Raw genomic sequence first — 19,043 nt, forward strand, 5'->3', positions numbered from 1 at the left:
AGGTCACCAAGGAATGTAAAATAAGTGCAGAGGTAGGAAGCAGTGCTTCAGTGCAGCAGATCTCAGTGACTTTGTGTTTTGAGGCTATGTATTATCCCCCTGATAACTTTGAAGATGAATGTTGTATTTCATAACCAGTAAAATAATTGTGTAATGAGGAGAGGAGTAGGCTACTGCCTGTGATCATCGAAATGAGAATCACATAATATTCCTGTAATGAAATCACTGAAACTATTGGGAAGGGGGTGTATTTGAAGATAAGTATAAATTGCACCTTCTAAAAGGCAATTTTGGTATTACTGATACTCTCCGGAAAAAGTTGAAATAAATCAACTTGGAGGTACTTAGAAAAGTGGAGAAAATGTTAGGAACAATGAAAGAAAGATAAAATGTATCCAGTATATTTCTAATGAGTAAGTATGGAAAATTACTGTACTCTGAGACGGTTTAGGCCAAGTCTGTGTTATGGCTATCTTTATATAGATAGTGCATGTTTGAAGATTGGGGAAAGCTTATGTCAATAAATGTTTATGTACTTAATCTACATGATTTGCCTAAAAATCCTCAAAGTTGGGATGAAGGCATTCCTAAGAGTACATTTTTAGACGTCATTAAATATACAGACGTATCCACGTAGTTTTTGTTCTTTCAGTTAGGCACACAATTATAATTATTGCACTGGTTAACTTGAAGCAGCAGAGGCTGTAGTTTCCTAGTGCTGACTCTGGGCGCCGCTGTTGGCCAAAGTGGAGAGCTTGGCGCTCCAGATCTCCTCGCGCAGCCGCAGCGCGCTTTCCAGGGCAGCCCCAGCTCAGACTCCCCAGCGCCAGCCTTTACACCGCTTCCTCCTCGGAAAAAGAAGAATTTTTTCTTGAACTGGAACTGCAACTAAAGTCCGTTCGGAGATCCAAAAATCTGCAATACAGAGGTTATTTGTAACCCGGCGTCTCCAGGCTGGTGAGCAAGCTGAGGAGAGCAAGAGGGATGGGGAGCGGCGCCGGGGAGCTGGGCCGGGCTGAGAGGCTGCCAGTGCTCTTTCTCTTCCTGCTGTCTTTGTTCTGCCCGGCGCTCTGTGAGCAGATCCGCTACAGGATTCCCGAGGAAATGCCCAAGGGCTCCGTAGTGGGGAACCTCGCCACGGACCTGGGGTTCAGCGTCCAGGAGTTACCGACTCGAAAACTGCGCGTCAGTTCGGAGAAGCCTTACTTCACCGTGAGCGCAGAGAGCGGGGAGTTGCTTGTGAGCAGCAGGCTAGACAGGGAGGAGATATGCGGGAAGAAGCCAGCTTGTGCTCTGGAATTTGAGGCTGTTGCTGAAAATCCACTGAACTTTTATCACGTGAATGTGGAGATCGAGGACATTAATGACCACACGCCAAAATTCACGCAAAATTCCTTTGAGCTGCAAATAAGTGAGTCTGCACAGCCTGGCACACGATTTATATTAGGATCTGCCCATGATGCGGATATTGGTAGCAACACACTGCAGAATTACCAACTCAGTCCCAGTGATCATTTCTCACTGATAAATAAAGAGAAATCAGATGGCAGTAAATACCCTGAGATGGTATTGAAGACACCTTTGGACAGAGAAAAGCAGAAATCCTACCACTTGACTTTGACTGCCTTGGACTTTGGAGCTCCACCCCTAAGCAGCACTGCACAGATACACGTTCTAGTGACTGATGCCAATGATAATGCTCCAGTGTTCAGTCAAGACGTATACAGGGTGAGCCTTTCAGAAAACGTGTACCCGGGGACCACGGTGCTACAGGTGACTGCCACGGACCAGGATGAGGGTGTCAATGCCGAGATTACTTTCTCTTTCAGTGAAGCTAGCCAGATCACCCAATTTGACCTGAACTCTAACACCGGGGAAATTACTGTTTTAAATACATTAGATTTTGAAGAAGTCAAAGAATATTCCATAGTTTTGGAAGCAAGGGACGGTGGAGGAATGATTGCGCAATGCACAGTGGAGGTAGAAGTCATAGATGAAAATGACAACGCCCCAGAAGTGATATTCCAGTCTCTACCCAACCTAATTATGGAGGACGCCGAGCTGGGAACACATATTGCTTTGCTCAAAGTCCGTGACAAGGATTCCAGACACAATGGAGAAGTGACTTGTAAATTGGAAGGTGATGTTCCATTTAAAATATTAACTTCTTCAAGAAACACGTATAAATTAGTGACAGATGCTGTTCTAGACCGCGAGCAGAATCCAGAGTACAATATAACCGTTACGGCAACAGATCGGGGCAAGCCTCCCCTCTCCTCCAGTTCCAGCATCACCCTGCACATTGGTGATGTAAATGACAACGCTCCGGTTTTCTCACAGTCTTCCTATATAGTCCACGTGGCCGAGAACAACCCGCCTGGAGCCTCTATTTCACAAGTCAGGGCTTCTGATCCGGACTTGGGGCCCAACGGCCAAGTCTCTTACTGCATCATGGCCAGTGACCTGGAGCAGCGGGAGCTGTCATCCTACGTGTCCATAAGCGCGGAGAGCGGGGTGGTGTTCGCGCAGCGCGCCTTCGACCACGAGCAGCTGCGCGCCTTCGAACTCACACTGCAGGCCCGCGACCAGGGCTCGCCAGCGCTCAGCGCGAACGTGAGCCTGCGCGTGTTAGTGGACGACCGCAACGACAATGCGCCACGGGTGCTGTACCCCGCGCTGGGTCCCGACGGCTCTGCGCTCTTCGATATGGTGCCGCACGCTGCAGAGCCTGGCTACTTGGTGACCAAGGTAGTGGCGGTGGACGCAGACTCAGGACACAACGCCTGGCTGTCCTACCACGTGCTGCAGGCTAGCGAGCCCGGGCTCTTCAGCCTGGGGCTGCGCACGGGCGAAGTGCGCACAGCGCGTGCCTTAGGCGACAGGGACGCCGTCCGCCAGCGCCTTCTGGTCGCCGTGCGTGACGGTGGACAGCCACCACTCTCGGCCACTGCCACGTTGCACCTGGTCTTCGCCGACAGCTTGCAGGAGGTGCTGCCGGATATCACTGACCGCCCCGACCCCTCTGACCTCCAGGCTGAGCTGCAGTTTTACCTAGTGGTGGCCTTGGCCTTGATCTCAGTGCTCTTCCTCGTGGCCATGATTCTGGCCATTGCCTTGCGCCTGCGACGCTCCTCCAGCCCCGCCTCCTGGAGCTGCTTCCAGCCTGGTCTCTGTGTTAAATCCGAATCCGTGGTTCCCCCCAACTACAGCGAGGGGACTTTGCCTTATTCCTACAATCTATGTGTTGCACATACAGGAAAGACGGAGTTTAATTTCCTAAAATGTAGTGAGCAGTTGAGTTCAGGACAAGACATACTTTGCGGTGATTCATCTGGGGCCTTATTTCCACTTTGTAATTCCAGTGAATTGACTTCCCATCAGGTGAGTTTCCTTTAAGTATAATTTAATGCTCATTGCCTACCCATTTCTCCATATTCACAAGAAAATATACATATTTGCAGGAAAATATATAATTTTTAGATGTCATGGATCATTTTAGGAAAGTTGTAGTCAGTTAAAAAGCTGTCATATCATTCTACAAAGGAGGAGTAAAGTAGGAGCAATTGTGTGGCCCAACATTTGTTTGTTTTTTAGCCAAGCTTAGATTTATAAAGCAATGAGGGTGTGGTTTTAACCACAAAGTGAAAGTGTTAGACAGTTGTTGGCTCTCTCCTAAAAAGTGAATGAGATTTTTCCTATACATTTTCCTTCTTGTTGACTAATATATGATGAATACTTTTTTCAGCTTGGATATACCATAAATATAAAAATAATAAAGCCAAAGAATTTAAGCTAAAATTCAACACTTTTCTTAACTAATTTAACTGGTATGGTCTCCATAGTAGTCCACTGTTTTGTTTCCTGTGTTAACTTCCCTTTTGTTTCAAAAGCTCTTAGAATAAGGAGTCAACTGGATTTTTATGTCCATGGACCCCTTGTGATTATATGCAGTGTACGCTGTGTGTGCGTGTGTGTGTGTGTGTGTGTGAGAGAGATCCTTTTACTTAGAAAAAGGTCTACTATGCTCATTAGAAGATCAAAAGCAGATTCTCCTTACTTGTAACATAGGAGTTTCAGGATTAATCTGTATTCAAGCTCATTCTATATCCTTCATCAAAGAAAAGACAATGTTTTGTGTCTGTTGTCCCTCTCACACACAGCCCTAATATATAATGTGTAACTGCCTTATCTGCAGCCCTAAACTAATATAGCTAGAGGTCTTCTAATCATTCTCCTACCTCTAGGAAAGAAATATAGTCTTGAAAACTGCCAATCTGGTGTGCATACAAAATATATACAAAATACCAAGGAACATTATATGAGCCTTTTGCTAGGTATATCTAAGCAACTGCTTCAGTTAATGGCCACTTTACAAATTGCTGAAAGAAGGAAACGTCTTTCGATTCTTTTTTTTTTCTTTTTTTTTTTTTGAGACAGAGTCTCTGTCTGTTACTCAGGCTGTAGTGCAGTGGCACAATGATAGCTCCCTCCAGCCTCAAACTCCTGGGCTCAAGCATTCCTTCTGCATCAGCCTCCTGACTAGCTGGAACTCAGGCTCATGCCACCAGACCTGGCTAATTTTTCTGTTTTCAGTAGAGAAAATATTTTCTTTCACTAATTTAACTGGTATGGTTTCCATTGTCTACCCAGTTTTCCATATGCATAAGAAAATATATTCACAGGAAAATATAAAGTTTTCAGATTTCATGAGTGGTTTTAAGAAAGTTTTAGTCAGTGAAAAAACTATCATACCAGTCTTCAAAGGAAGGGTGAAATAAGTTCATCTGCTACGTTGCCCAGGCTGGTCTTGAAGGGAAACAGACTTTTTTGTAGTCATACTTATCCTTTGGCTTCTTAGTAAGTATTATATAGTCATTACTTTTTGCAGTTTTTTAGATCAAAGTGTTAATGTAGGTAAAGTTAATTTTAGAATATATGTAAAAGTCAAGTCTGCTTTAAATTTAATCATCTCTTTGGTGAAAGGGATGGGATGGAGCTTTGCTTTTTATCATATATTCATCTGTACCTTTCAAGTATTCAAATAGAAAAATATAAACAATGTAAATAAAATAGCAAAACAATGTAATATCTCATAAAACTGCAATGGTAAAAGCATTTATCCTATTGAAATTCCACAATTTTTATTTGAAAATATTATCGACATGTAATTCAAGTGGCATTTAGAAGAATAATTTAAAAGCAACAACTCTATAGAAAGCTTGTAAAATGATTAAGTAGTTTAAACCAAATAAAACAATTTCTGAGTCAGTCATCTCCAGTAGGTCTATTTTAGTCTCAAGATAAATTCATTTCTGGTGACAACTGAAGTTCTTAGTTATTTGTTAGTATATATTGGAGACATTTACAATAAAGCTTAGAGCACAATGGGAAATGAAAGTATCATGTTTTTTTTAAGACCAAATGTATTGCAGAAATGTGAGTAATTTAATCCGATGCTACAATCTGATCATTCTGATCTAATCTGATCATTTAATAACACTAAATAAAACCTTCATCTCACATTCTTTGGCTGTTTCTTTTAAAATATGGGTTTACGGATAAATCAAATAAATTCAAAACAAAGTAATAAGCAAATGATTTTTTTTTCTCAGTAATCTAGTAGAGTATTACATTTAGAAGTAATCTGTATCTCAGTGCAGTAACTATTTAGGACTGTAAGCGCCGCTGTTCACCTACTGGAAGACAAATGCAACCGAAAACACTCAGATCTCACACCTCACGAAGACCCGCAGATGCCACAAACTAACTGCTGGACTGCAGCGAAACCCGACCCCTGTTTGGAGGCACTCCAGGTTTCCGGAGGATTGTCATCTCCATAGCTGCGGCAAGAAACTAAATAAGACCCATTTATGCACAGTGAAGATTCTGAGAGGATTCTGCAGCAAAACAACAATGGCCGCTCCACAGAGTCGCCCCAGACGCGGCGAGCTGATCCTGCTGTGCGCGCTGCTGGGAACGCTGTGGGAAATCGGGAGGGGACAGATTCGCTACTCTGTGCCAGAAGAGACGGACAAAGGCTCCTTCGTGGGTAATATCTCCAAGGACCTGGGGCTGGACCCCCGGAAGCTGGCGAAGCACGGAGTCCGTATCGTCTCCAGAGGTAGGACGCAGCTCTTTGCTCTGAACCCGCGCAGCGGCAGCTTGATCACCGCGGGCAGGATAGATCGGGAGGAGCTCTGCGCTCAGAGCCCGCGGTGTCTGATAAATATTAACACCCTGGTTGAGGATAAAGGAAAACTCTTTGGGGTAGAAATAGAAATAATTGATATTAACGATAATAACCCAAAATTCCAGGTCGAAGATCTAGAAGTAAAAATTAACGAAATCGCGGTTCCTGGAGCACGTTATCCACTCCCAGAAGCTGTTGACCCGGATGTGGGCGTGAACTCCCTCCAGAGCTACCAGCTCAGCCCCAATCACCACTTCTCCCTGGACGTGCAGACTGGAGACAATGGAGCCATAAACCCAGAGCTGGTGCTGGAGCGCGCCCTGGACAGGGAGGAAGAGGCTGCTCACCACCTGGTCCTCACGGCCTCGGATGGCGGCAAGCCGCCTCGCTCTAGCACAGTGCGCATCCACGTGACAGTGTTGGATACAAATGACAATGCCCCGGTTTTTCCTCACCCGATTTACCGAGTGAAAGTCCTTGAGAACATGCCCCCAGGCACGCGGCTGCTTACTGTAACAGCCAGCGACCCGGATGAGGGAATCAACGGAAAAGTGGCATACAAATTCCGGAAAATTAATGAAAAACAAACTCCGTTATTCCAGCTTAATGAAAATACTGGGGAAATATCAATAGCAAAAAGTCTAGATTATGAAGAATGTTCATTTTATGAAATGGAAATACAAGCCGAAGATGTGGGGGCACTTCTGGGGAGGACCAAATTGCTCATTTCGGTGGAAGATGTAAATGACAATAGACCAGAAGTGATCATTACGTCTTTGTTTAGCCCAGTGTTAGAAAATTCTCTTCCCGGGACAGTAATTGCCTTCTTGAGTGTGCATGACCAAGACTCTGGAAAGAATGGTCAAGTTGTCTGTTACACACGTGATAATTTACCTTTTAAATTAGAAAAGTCAATAGGTAATTATTATAGATTAGTGACAAGGAAATATTTGGACCGAGAAAATGTCTCTATCTACAATATCACAGTGATGGCCTCAGATCTAGGAACACCACCTCTGTCCACTGAAACTCAAATCGCTCTGCACGTGGCAGACATTAACGACAACCCTCCTACTTTCCCTCATGCCTCCTACTCAGCGTATATCCTAGAGAACAACCTGAGAGGAGCCTCCATCTTTTCCTTGACTGCACACGACCCCGACAGCCAGGAGAATGCCCAGGTCACTTACTCTGTGACCGAGGACACGCTGCAGGGGGCGCCCCTGTCCTCGTATATCTCCATCAACTCTGACACCGGTGTCCTGTATGCGCTGCAATCTTTCGACTATGAGCAGATCCGAGACCTGCAGCTACTGGTAACAGCCAGCGACAGCGGGGACCCGCCCCTCAGCAGCAACATGTCACTGAGCCTGTTCGTGCTGGACCAGAATGACAACGCGCCCGAGATCCTGTACCCCGCCCTCCCCACAGACGGTTCCACTGGCGTGGAGCTGGCGCCCCGCTCCGCAGAGCGTGGCTACCTGGTGACCAAGGTGGTGGCGGTGGACAGAGACTCGGGCCAGAACGCCTGGCTGTCCTACCGCCTGCTCAAGGCCAGCGAGCCGGGACTCTTCTCGGTGGGTCTGCACACGGGCGAGGTGCGCACGGCGCGAGCCCTGCTGGACAGAGATGCGCTCAAGCAGAGCCTCGTGGTGGCCGTCCAGGACCATGGCCAGCCCCCTCTCTCCGCCACTGTCACGCTCACCGTAGCCGTGGCTGACAGCATCCCCGAAGTCCTGACCGAGTTGGGCAGTCTGAAGCCTTCGGTCGACCCGAACGATTCGAGCCTTACACTCTATCTCGTGGTGGCAGTGGCTGCCATCTCCTGTGTCTTCCTCGCCTTTGTCGCTGTGCTTCTGGGGCTCAGGCTGAGGCGCTGGCACAAGTCACGCCTGCTCCAGGATTCCGGTGGCAGATTGGTAGGCGTGCCTGCCTCACATTTTGTGGGTGTTGAGGAGGTACAGGCTTTCCTGCAGACCTATTCCCAGGAAGTCTCCCTCACCGCCGACTCGCGGAAGAGTCACCTGATCTTTCCCCAGCCCAACTACGCAGACATGCTCATCAGTCAGGAGGGCTGTGAGAAAAATGATTCTTTGTTAACATCCGTAGATTTTCATGAATATAAGAATGAAGCTGATCATGGTCAGGTGAGTTTAGTTCTTTGCTTGCTTTTAATTTCCAGATGAATTTTATTTGGCATAAATTATGTTTTGAAAAACATTGTGAAGATAGTTGAAAATAATTTTTAAGGTGTATCACAGAGTTTTGGGTTTATTTTGGTGGTGTTACTATAAAATTGAACTCTAATAGTCATAGGTTATTGTTTCATTTGCTTTTAAACGACTTGGAAAAGATTGTTCAACCATTTTAAGCCTTCCAGTATTTTATTCCTATTATCACTCATTCACTTAAGAAGTAGCTACCCGTCCATACTGGTAATTTTGCTATTGTTTGTGTGTGTGTGTGTGTGTGTGTGTGTGTGTGTGTGTGTGTGTGTGTGTATCCCAAACTAGAACTTCAGAAAATTATCAAGAAGTCTAAAGCCTTGTTATTAGCTTAGCAAAAGTAAAATATATCTCAGAATTTTTAGGGTTATGTTTAGCATTTGAACCTGTAACTAGGCTCTTGTAGATTTCTTCACTTTAAACCTCTTTTCTGAGCCCTGTTTCTGTACCAGTGCCCTTCAAAACTTTAATACTTCTTACCATCCTTCAAAACATGAACAAACTTTAAAGATGGATCTTGGTGGGAGATGAGACTGGTTACTAAATATTAAGTATGTGAGTCAGTGGTCACCTGGGCTCCATGCCCATGGAGACATGAAATCTAAAGCCTAGAATGTCCATTGCTCCCCCAAACAAAAAACAAAAGCAAAAACATTAGATCTGAATTAAAATGTAATTTTAAACTGTTGAAAGTGACTTTTGTAAAATATGTAAGAACATATTTCAATACAATTCCAATTAGCTGTTTCGGTTGTGCATTGATGTGAAGTGGTGAGAATGTTGATATTAAGAACCAATGTTTCAGGTACACAAGTTCTAAATAAGCTGATCAATTCAATTAAAGTTATTCAGTCTTGGCTGGACACAGTGCCTCATGTCTGAAATCCCAGCACTTTGGGAGGCTGGGGCAGGAGGACCGCTTGAGCCCCGGGGGTTTGAAACTGCAGTGAGCTATGATCATGCCACTGCACTCCAGCCTAGGTGGCAGAACTAGACCCTGTCTCTAAAAAAACTATTATTAGGCCGGGTGCGGTGGCTCACGCCTGTAATCCCAGCACTTTGGGAGACTGAGGTGGGTGGATCACCTGAGGTCAGGAGTTCAAGATCAGCCTGGCAAACATGGTGAAACCCCGTCTCTACTAAAAACTACAAAAATTAGCCAGGCATGGTGGCATGCGCCTGTGGTCCCAGCTACTCGGGAGGCTGAGGCAGAAGAATCACTTGAACCCGGGAGGTGGAGGTTGCAGTGAGCCTCGATCCTGTCACTGCACTCCAGCCTGGGCAACAGGGTGAGACTCCGTCTCAAAAAAAAAAAAAACTAATATTAATAGTAAAAACTCGGTATAGGCTATCCATTATTGTATTCCTGCATACCTTCTTGTAGCATTTGAATAAAGCTAATACCTGAATTGATTGTTGTAAGGTAGAAGTAGATGACCCAATAAATGTTTGTTATTAATGAAAAGGACATTTCCTAAGGATTGTGTAGTGTTCTACTGTATGGTGCATATTCAGTGGAGTGGGAGTTAACTTCATAGTTTGTGTACCATTTGGATGCACATTTGAGAGGACAACATATTATTGGCACTTTGCAATTTTAAAAACTCGGATGAAAGTTGCCCTGGTAGGAAAGAAAATCCTTACTCTCCCTAAAAATGTTGGCTAGTTGTTTTTATTAATCTGACAAATGGACTAAAGAAGGTTGACCAATGTCCACAAATTTATGTAAATGAACTTATGAGCTTCATTTATCCAATTCCAAAGTCATTTCAGATAGGATAATAATGCAATCCACTAGAATATCCCTTTGTACCTTGTATTGCAGAATAGATAAGCATTTCCCCAATAACTCTTAAGAATGAATTTATGTACTGTAAAAGATATGACATAAGAGAAGTATTTTGAGATATGAAGAAGAGCAACGTAGTAGGGTATATCATTTCTTAGCTACATCATATGGGCAGTATACTTGAATGAATATTTCCTGAAGTAGAAGAGTAAAGAAAAATTATTTTTATAAAGAATGTTAATATAGTCAGGAAGAGGAGATGTTTGGGGATTGGTATAAAATTGCCACAACTTTACAAAATAGTTTTAAATAGTATAGATTTCCCTAATATGTGTAATATAAAACACTAGAAATATTGGGGAGTTGGAAATCATAGAAATGAACAGAAGAATGATAAAATTGTTTCCATAGCTAATAAAAAATGAATTTTTGAAATCAGTATAGTATGAAGGCTCTGAGAGCAAGAACTGTATCATATTAATTATTATATTGCCAGTGACAAGGGCAATACTTAGTTCTAGCTAAGAGTTCAAGGTATGTTTGCAGAATGGTGAAAGAATGGACCAATGTATGCAGGTTTGTATAAAAACCCAACGTGATATTTCTAACAATTTGGAAAACAGAGAAAGATACCTTAAAGAAGTTGTTATAATTTTTTATTAAGTATATGGACGTAAAAACTTGGCTTGTTAAGTTAGGCACACAAAAACAATTACTGCACTGGTTAACTTGAAGCCGCAGAGGCTGTAGTTTCCTAGTGCTGACTCTGGGCGCCGCTGTTGGCCAAAGTGCAGAGCTTGGCGCTCCAGATCTCCTCGCGCAGCCGCAGCGCGCTTTCCAGGGCAGCCCCAGCTCAGACTCCCCAGCGCCGGCCTTTACACCGCTTCCTCCTCGGAAAAAGAATCGTTTCCTAAACTGGAACTGGAACTAAAGCCCGTTCGGAGATCCAAAAATCTACAATACAGAGGTTATTTGTAACCTGGCGTCTCCAGGCTGGTGAGCAAGCTGAGGAGAGCAAGAGGGATGGGGAGCGGCGCCGGGGAGCTGGGCCGGGCTGAGAGGCTGCCAGTGCTCTTTCTCTTCCTGCTGTCTTTGTTCTGCCCGGCGCTCTGTGAGCAGATCCGCTACAGGATTCCCGAGGAAATGCCCAAGGGCTCCGTAGTGGGGAACCTCGCCACGGACCTGGGGTTCAGCGTCCAGGAGTTACCGACTCGAAAACTGCGCGTCAGTTCGGAGAAGCCTTACTTCACCGTGAGCGCAGAGAGCGGGGAGTTGCTTGTGAGCAGCAGGCTAGACAGGGAGGAGATATGCGGGAAGAAGCCAGCTTGTGCTCTGGAATTTGAGGCTGTTGCTGAAAATCCACTGAACTTTTATCACGTGAATGTGGAGATCGAGGACATTAATGACCACACGCCAAAATTCACGCAAAATTCCTTTGAGCTGCAAATAAGTGAGTCTGCACAGCCTGGCACAAGATTTATACTAGAAGTAGCAGAAGATGCAGATATTGGCTTAAACTCTCTGCAGAAGTATAAACTCTCTCTTAACCCAAGTTTCTCATTAATAATTAAGGAGAAACAGGATGGTAGTAAATACCCGGAACTGGCACTGGAGAAAACCTTAGACCGGGAACAACAGAGTTACCATCGTTTAGTCCTGACTGCCTTGGACGGTGGACATCCACCCCTAAGCGGCACCACTGAGCTCCGGATCCAGGTAACCGACGCCAATGATAATCCCCCGGTATTCAACCGAGACGTGTACAGAGTCAGCCTTCGGGAAAACGTGCCACCAGGCACCACTGTGTTGCAAGTGTCAGCCACTGACCAAGACGAGGGCATCAACTCAGAAATTACTTATTCCTTCTACAGAACCGGGCAAATCTTTAGTCTGAATTCAAAGAGCGGAGAAATTACCACTCAAAAGAAACTGGATTTTGAAGAGACCAAGGAATATTCAATGGTTGTAGAAGGGAGGGATGGTGGTGGACTGGTTGCACAATGTACAGTTGAAATTAATATTCAAGATGAAAATGACAATAGCCCAGAAGTTACATTCCATTCTCTACTTGAAATGATTCTGGAAAACGCGGTGCCTGGAACACTAATTGCTTTGATCAAAATACATGACCAAGATTCTGGGGAAAATGGGGAGGTTAATTGTCAATTACAAGGCGAAGTCCCTTTTAAGATTATCTCTTCATCCAAAAATTCGTATAAGTTGGTAACAGATGGAACCCTAGACCGAGAGCAAACCCCGGAGTACAATGTCACCATCACAGCCACAGACAGGGGCAAGCCGCCCCTCTCCTCCAGCATAAGCGTCATCCTACATATCAGAGACGTCAACGATAACGCTCCGGTTTTCCACCAGGCGTCCTACTTAGTCAGTGTACCCGAAAACAACCCTCCTGGGGCCTCCATCGCGCAAGTCTGCGCCTCGGACCTGGACTTGGGGTTGAACGGCCAAGTCTCCTACTCTATCATGGCCAGCGACCTAGAGCCTCTGGCACTGGCCTCTTACGTGTCCATGAGCGCGCAAAGTGGGGTGGTGTTCGCGCAGCGCGCCTTTGACTACGAGCAGCTGCGCACCTTCGAACTCACACTACAGGCCCGCGACCAGGGCTCGCCTGCGCTCAGCGCAAACGTGAGCCTGCGCGTGTTGGTGGGCGACCGAAACGACAACGCACCGCGGGTGCTGTACCCCGCGCTGGGTCCCGACGGCTCTGCGCTCTTCGATATGGTGCCGCGCGCTGCAGAGCCCGGCTACCTGGTGACCAAGGTAGTGGCCGTGGACGCAGACTCAGGACACAACGCCTGGCTGTCCTACCACGTGCTGCAGGCTAGCGAGCCCGGGCTCTTCAGCCTGGGGCTGCGCACAGGAGAGGTGCGCACAGCGCGTGCCTTGGGCGACAGGGACGCGGCCCGCCAGCGCCTGCTGGTTGCTGTGCGTGATGGTGGACAGCCGCCACTCTCCGCCACCGCCACGCTGCACTTGGTCTTTGCTGACAGCTTGCAGGAGGTGCTGCCGGATATCACTGACCGCCCTGTACCCTCTGACCCCCAGGCTGAGCTGCAGTTTTACCTAGTGGTGGCCTTGGCCTTGATCTCAGTGCTCTTCCTCCTGGCCGTGATTCTGGCCGTTGCCTTGCGCCTGCGACGCTCCTCCAGCCCTGCCGCCTGGAGCTGCTTCCAACCTGGTCTCTGTGTCAAGTCTGGACCTGTGGTTCCCCCCAACTACAGTCAGGGGACTTTGCCTTATTCCTACAACCTATGTGTTGCACATACAGGAAAGACGGAGTTTAATTTCCTAAAATGTAGTGAGCAATTGAGTTCAGGACAAGACATACTTTGTGGTGATTCATCTGGGGCCTTATTTCCACTTTGTAATTCCAGCGAGTCGACTTCCCATCCTGAGTTGGTGAGTTTCATTTATGTCTATTCTTTTTCATTACCCACCCAATTTTCTGTATTTACATGAAACTATCGTACATTTTCAAGTCCAATGAGTTGTCTTAGGGAAGTCAGAGCTGCTCAGAAAGCTGTCCTACCATTCTTTAAGAGGAGCAGTAAATTGTGAGTTTTTATGTCGCATAAAAGAAGTAGCCTTATAGATTTACAAAGTAGTGAGAGTTTGCTCTTAGCTTCCTCTCTAGCAAAAACATTTGGTGCGTTTTTTTGTCCTCTTTCTCAAAGCTAATGAATTTTACCTATTCGTTGTCTCATTCTTTAACATGTTTATATTTTATTGTATGTAGATAAACCATTAAATTTAATGTATGTAATCATTTAATTCATCTTTTAAAGCAAAGAAACTGCTAGTAGATGTCTTTCTTCACTGATTTCACTGGTAGTTTTCATCTCTTTCTTATGTTCCTCATATATGCTTTCTTATTCCTACCTAATGGATTTATGATTTTTTGAATCTCCTAAAATTTTATTAAAAATACTATATGTTGGCTGGGTGCAGTGGCTCATGCCTGTAATCCCAGCACTTTGGGAGGCCGAGGCGGTTGGATCACATGGTCAGGAGTTCAAGACCAGCCTGGGCAATATGGTGAAAACCCGTCTCTACTAAAAATACAAAAATTAGCTGGGTGTGGTGGCGGGCGCCTGTAATCCCAGCTACTCAGGAGGCTAAGACAGGAGAATTGCTTGAACCTGGCAGGTGGAGGTTGCGGTGAGCCGAGATCACTCCATTGCATTCCAGCCTGGGCAACAAGAGCAAAACTCCATCTCAAAAAAAAGGAAGGAGAAGGAGAGGAAGAAGAAGAAAAATACTACATGTTATGTGTATGAGAGAGAAAGAGAGAGACTGATTCACTGAACTTAGAAGGTCCAAATCATCCAAATAATTTTCTAAGTTTATCCAGGTTTTCTTGGATGCAAAATCCTTTTCCACCTCTATATAATTACCAGAAGAAACTTACAAAAAAAAGGAAATGCTATTGCCTGAATTTCTCTTGCTCGGAATCCTGACATATTCTTGAAGAAGGGGAAAAAGACACCGGATTTGTCTTATCGTTTGGAGCTTTAAATATAAATGACTGGATGTTTTCTCAACATCCTTGTAGGATGGAAGGTGAATACAGGATTATTCCATTTTTAAGACAAAAACTACTAGTCTTGTGTACATACAAAGCTCCCATTACATGGTATAAGTCTTTTGCTTGGTTTCCCTTAGTATGTGATTCAGTAAATGGGTTCCTTACAAAGTGCTGAGATTTCTTATAATACCACTTACTTTTAACCTTTCAGTAGTTTTCTTTGTTGTATATTTTGTGTTCTTTTTCCCAAATTATTATATAAGTTTAAGTGATGCTTAGAATAATGTTTAAGACCACTTTAAAATTGCATAATTTATTGATGAAGGATTAAAATAGAAACTTGCTTTTCAGTGTATATGCATTTGAATCATTGAAACACAGTCTGTGCATGCATTACATATTCACATTAAAAAACTAAGCATTTTTGAAATAGCAGAAAAGTTTAAGCAATTACAAAAATGTGAAAATTTCCAACTTTAATCCTGTTAATATTTAGCAATATTAGGCGAGAACATCTGTAACTATTGCTGAATTAATATTACTTTTATAATACAAAAATTTAAAATAAACGTTTTTCCAGGAATTTTATCATCAAAATAAACCCCAGAAAATAATTTCAAAGTGGATAATCTATCCTTATATATGTATTAATACAATTATATATTTTACATTTACAAATATATAGGTATAAAAATTAAAAATGAATGTACTTCCAAACAAGATTGCACATAAAAATTACTTCAGAAAATTGTTAAGATACACAGAAAAAATTGAAGCATCATAAAAAGGAAATTATAATAGTTTACATATCTAGAAATAGAGTGCAAAGTTCTACCAAGAATAAGAATAAATTAATATTAAGCAATGGTTTGTGATTTTATAATACACTTACAGAAATTTTATTCCACTTTATTTACAACTCAGATATCTAAAAAATAGATTGCTTTTGAAATACAAATGCAAGAAACAATTGGAGAAATCTAAAATCATAATTAGAAGAGAGTAGTGTTTTCTTTATCAGCCATCTGATATAATGTTACACATCAGTGGGTGTAGTAACGGCTTAGGACTCTGAGCGCCGCTGTTGATCAACTCTAAGCGAAAATCAGGACTCCATCCGGATTTCCAGTTCTGCGGCTACACAAAACCCGGCAGATACCACAAACCTGCTCCCAGGCTGCAGCAAAACTCAGCCTCTTTCTTCTAAGGAAAAGATCACCATACTTTGCAGGGTGGAAGAAAGAACCTGATGAAGCAGCGCGCACAGAGATCCTTTTGAGAAAATTCCAAAGCGAGGCAGCAATGGCAGCTCCAACCAAATGCCAGCTCCGCGGAAGATTAGTCCTGCTATGCTCGCTCCTGGGGATGCTATGGGAGGCCAGGGCCAGTCAGATTCGCTACTCAGTGCCTGAAGAGACAGAAAAGGGCTATATTGTGGGCAACATCTCCAAGGACCTGGCTCTGGAGCCCCGGGAGCTGGCGGAGCGCCGAGTCCGCATCGTCTCTAGAGGTAGGACGCAGCTTTTCTCTCTGAACCCGCGCAGCGGCACCTTGGTCACCGCGGGTAGGATAGACCGGGAGGAGCTCTGTGCTCAGAGCCCGCGGTGTCTGGTGAACTTTAAAGTCCTGGTTGAAGACAGAGTGAAACTGTACGGAATAGAAATAGAAGTAACTGATATTAACGACAGCGCCCCAAAGTTCCAGGCCGAAAGTCTGGAAGTAAAAATTAACGAAATCGCGGTTCCTGGAGCACGTTATCCACTTCCAGAAGCTATTGATCCGGATGTTGGCGTGAACTCCCTCCAGAGCTACCAGCTCAGCCCCAATCACCACTTCTCCCTGAACGTGCAGACTGGAGACAATGGAGCCATAAACCCAGAGCTGGTGCTGGAGCGCGCCCTGGACAGGGAGGAGGCAACTGCCCACCACCTGGTCCTCACGGCCTCGGATGGCGGCGAGCCGCGTCGCTCCAGCACAGTGCGCATCCATGTGACAGTGTTGGATACAAATGATAATGCCCCGGTTTTTGCTCAACGGATTTACCGAGTTAAAGTCCTTGAGAACGTGCCCCCAGGCACCTGGCTGCTTACTGCAACAGCCAGCGACCTGGATGAGGGAATCAACGGAAAAGTGGCATACAAATTCTGGAAAATTAATGAAAAACAATCTCTGCTATTCCAGCTTAATGAAAATACTGGGGAAATATCAACAGCAAAAAGTCTAGATTATGAAGAATGTTCATTTTATGAAATGGAAATACAAGCTGAAGATGGTGGGGGATTGAAAGGGTGGACAAAAGTGCTCATTTCGGTGGAAGATGTAAATGACAATAGACCTGAAGTGACCATTACATCTCTGTTTAGCCCAGTGAGAGAAGACGCACCTCAGGGAACAGTAATTCTTCTTTTCAATGCTCATGACCGAGACTCCGGGAAGAATGGTCAAGTTGTCTGTTCTATCCAGGAGAATCTATCTTTTACATTAGAAAATTCAGAAGAAGATTATTACAGATTGTTGACGGCCCAAATTCTTGACCGAGAAAAAGCCTCAGAATATAATATCACGGTGACTGCAACAGACAGAGGAACTCCGCCCCTGTCCACAGAAATTCACATCACCCTGCAAGTGACTGACATCAATGATAATCCACCTGCTTTCTCTCAAGCCTCCTACTCAGTCTACCTCCCGGAAAACAACGCCAGAGGTACTTCCATCTTCTCCGTGATTGCCTATGACCCTGATAGCAATGAGAATTCTAGAGTTATTTACTCCTTGGCAGAGGATACCATCCAAGGGTCTCCTCTCTCCACCTATGTCTCTATTAACTCAGACACTGGTGTGCTGTATGCTCTGTGCTCCTTTGACTATGAGCAGTTTAGAGATTTGCAAATGCAGGTGACGGCAAGTGACAGTGGAAGCCCACCACTTAGCAGCAATGTGTCATTGAGACTGTTTGTTTTGGACCAGAATGACAATGCCCCAGAAATCCTGTACCCTGCCCTCCCCACTGATGGTTCTACTGGTGTGGAGCTGGCACCCCGCTCTGCAGAGCCTGGCTACCTGGTGACCAAGGTGGTGGCAGTGGACAGAGACTCAGGCCAGAATGCTTGGCTCTCCTACCGCCTATTCAAGGCCAGTGAGCCAGGGCTCTTCTCGGTGGGGCTGCACACAGGTGAAGTGCGCACAGCTCGGGCCCTGCTAGATAGAGATGCGCTCAAACAGAGCCTTGTGGTGGCTGTACAGGACCATGGCCAGCCCCCTCTCTCGGCCACTGTCACGCTCACAGTAGCCATAGCTGACAGCATCCCAGACATCCTGGCTGACCTGGGCAGTCTTCAGATCCCTGCAGACCTGGAGGCCTCAGACCTTACCCTCTACCTCGTTGTGGCTGTGGCAGTCGTCTCCTGTGTCTTCCTCACCTTCGTTATCACGCTGCTGGCCCTCAGGCTGAGGCACTGGCACTCCTCGCATCTGCTGCGGGCTACCAGTGATGGGTTGGCTGGTGTGCCCACCTCACACTTTGTGGGTGTAGATGGGGTTCGAGCTTTCCTACAGACCTATTCTCAGGAGTTCTCCCTCACCGCTGACTCAAGGAAGAGTCACCTGATCTTCCCCCAGCCCAACTATGCAGACACACTCATCAGCCAGCAGAGCTGTGAGAAAAATGAGCCTTTGTGCGTCTCTGTTGATTCCAAGTTTCCTATAGAAGACACCCCTTTGGTTCCGGTGAGTTCATTTTTTTTCTTTCTTTCTTTTCTTTTTTTGTTTTTTGTTTTGTTTTGTTTTTGAGACAGAGTCTTACTCTGTTACCCAGGCTGGAATGCAGTGGTGTGATCTCGGCTCATTGCAACCTCCGCCTCCCAAATTCAAGCGATTCTCCTGCCTCAGCCTCCCAAGTAGAGTAGCTGGGACTAGAGTAGAGTAGCTGGGACTACAGGCCTCCCAAGTAGAATAACTGGGACTACAGGCACGTGCCACCACGCCCGGCTAATTTTTTGTGTGTTTTTAGTAGAGACGGGGTGTCACCATGTTGGCCAGGCTGGTCTTGAATTCCTAACCTCAAGTGATCCACCCACCTCAGCCTCCCAAAGCACTGGGATTACAGGCGTGAGCCACTGCGCCTGGCCCTTAACTTTCTATTATAGTTAGCTTTCTCTTTAACTGTCTGTACTTAAGGTAGTATAAGTTGATATCAGTGTGTTTCTCATCACTTTTCACTGGGCCTAATTGTTGCTCCAACACTGAAAGGAGGCATTTATTAGTTATATTTGCTGATATAACTTTCATGTTCTC

General features: G+C 45.1%; 14 protein-coding genes and 1 further gene across 18 annotated transcripts in view; all 15 read left to right on the forward strand.

Moving 5' to 3' along the window:
* Positions 1 to 19,043, forward strand: part of PCDHGA1 (protocadherin gamma subfamily A, 1) — a 182,462-nt gene that overhangs the window by 56,387 nt on the left and 107,032 nt on the right. The window lies entirely within an intron of this gene.
* The window catches only part of PCDHG@ (protocadherin gamma cluster), a 182,295-nt gene that overhangs the window by 56,216 nt on the left and 107,036 nt on the right, over positions 1 to 19,043 (forward strand).
* The window catches only part of PCDHGA2 (protocadherin gamma subfamily A, 2), a 174,216-nt gene that overhangs the window by 48,141 nt on the left and 107,032 nt on the right, over positions 1 to 19,043 (forward strand). The gene's annotated exons all lie outside the window — the stretch shown is intronic.
* Positions 1 to 19,043, forward strand: part of PCDHGA3 (protocadherin gamma subfamily A, 3) — a 169,147-nt gene that overhangs the window by 43,072 nt on the left and 107,032 nt on the right. The window lies entirely within an intron of this gene.
* The window catches only part of PCDHGB1 (protocadherin gamma subfamily B, 1), a 162,877-nt gene that overhangs the window by 36,802 nt on the left and 107,032 nt on the right, over positions 1 to 19,043 (forward strand). The gene's annotated exons all lie outside the window — the stretch shown is intronic.
* PCDHGA4 (protocadherin gamma subfamily A, 4) overlaps positions 1 to 19,043 on the forward strand; it is a 157,955-nt gene that overhangs the window by 31,880 nt on the left and 107,032 nt on the right. The gene's annotated exons all lie outside the window — the stretch shown is intronic.
* PCDHGB2 (protocadherin gamma subfamily B, 2) overlaps positions 1 to 19,043 on the forward strand; it is a 152,982-nt gene that overhangs the window by 26,907 nt on the left and 107,032 nt on the right. The gene's annotated exons all lie outside the window — the stretch shown is intronic.
* The window catches only part of PCDHGA5 (protocadherin gamma subfamily A, 5), a 148,814-nt gene that overhangs the window by 22,739 nt on the left and 107,032 nt on the right, over positions 1 to 19,043 (forward strand). The gene's annotated exons all lie outside the window — the stretch shown is intronic.
* PCDHGB3 (protocadherin gamma subfamily B, 3) overlaps positions 1 to 19,043 on the forward strand; it is a 142,734-nt gene that overhangs the window by 16,659 nt on the left and 107,032 nt on the right. The window lies entirely within an intron of this gene.
* PCDHGA6 (protocadherin gamma subfamily A, 6) overlaps positions 1 to 19,043 on the forward strand; it is a 139,085-nt gene that overhangs the window by 13,010 nt on the left and 107,032 nt on the right. The window lies entirely within an intron of this gene.
* PCDHGA7 (protocadherin gamma subfamily A, 7) overlaps positions 1 to 19,043 on the forward strand; it is a 130,234-nt gene that overhangs the window by 4,159 nt on the left and 107,032 nt on the right. The window lies entirely within an intron of this gene.
* The window catches only part of PCDHGB4 (protocadherin gamma subfamily B, 4), a 125,278-nt gene continuing 107,032 nt past the window's right edge, over positions 798 to 19,043 (forward strand). The window contains exon 1 of one of the 2 annotated variants that reach the window (NM_003736.4): positions 798 to 3,381. In NM_003736.4, coding sequence (NP_003727.1) covers positions 985 to 3,381 — 2,397 coding nt within the window. In that variant the 5' untranslated portion in view covers positions 798 to 984. Of the gene's footprint in view, positions 3,397 to 19,043 lie in introns of those variants that run through there. The other variant, NM_032098.1, reaches the window with a different exon arrangement.
* PCDHGA8 (protocadherin gamma subfamily A, 8) overlaps positions 5,733 to 19,043 on the forward strand; it is a 120,343-nt gene continuing 107,032 nt past the window's right edge. The window contains exon 1 of one of the 2 annotated variants that reach the window (NM_032088.2): positions 5,733 to 8,337. In NM_032088.2, the coding sequence (NP_114477.1) occupies positions 5,914 to 8,337 (2,424 nt within the window). In that variant the 5' untranslated portion in view covers positions 5,733 to 5,913. Of the gene's footprint in view, positions 9,884 to 19,043 lie in introns of those variants that run through there. The other variant, NM_014004.3, reaches the window with a different exon arrangement.
* The window catches only part of PCDHGB5 (protocadherin gamma subfamily B, 5), a 115,029-nt gene continuing 107,032 nt past the window's right edge, over positions 11,047 to 19,043 (forward strand). The window contains exon 1 of one of the 2 annotated variants that reach the window (NM_018925.3): positions 11,047 to 13,624. In NM_018925.3, the coding sequence (NP_061748.1) occupies positions 11,228 to 13,624 (2,397 nt within the window). In that variant the 5' untranslated portion in view covers positions 11,047 to 11,227. Of the gene's footprint in view, positions 13,685 to 19,043 lie in introns of those variants that run through there. The other variant, NM_032099.1, reaches the window with a different exon arrangement.
* Positions 15,878 to 19,043, forward strand: part of PCDHGA9 (protocadherin gamma subfamily A, 9) — a 110,198-nt gene continuing 107,032 nt past the window's right edge. The window contains exon 1 of one of the 2 annotated variants that reach the window (NM_018921.3): positions 15,878 to 18,476. In NM_018921.3, the coding sequence (NP_061744.1) occupies positions 16,053 to 18,476 (2,424 nt within the window). In that variant the 5' untranslated portion in view covers positions 15,878 to 16,052. Of the gene's footprint in view, positions 18,600 to 19,043 lie in introns of those variants that run through there. The other variant, NM_032089.2, reaches the window with a different exon arrangement.

The sequence above is a fragment of the Homo sapiens genome, chromosome 5 (genome assembly GCF_000001405.40).
Source record: "Homo sapiens chromosome 5, GRCh38.p14 Primary Assembly".
Taxonomy (NCBI): domain Eukaryota; kingdom Metazoa; phylum Chordata; class Mammalia; order Primates; family Hominidae; genus Homo; species Homo sapiens.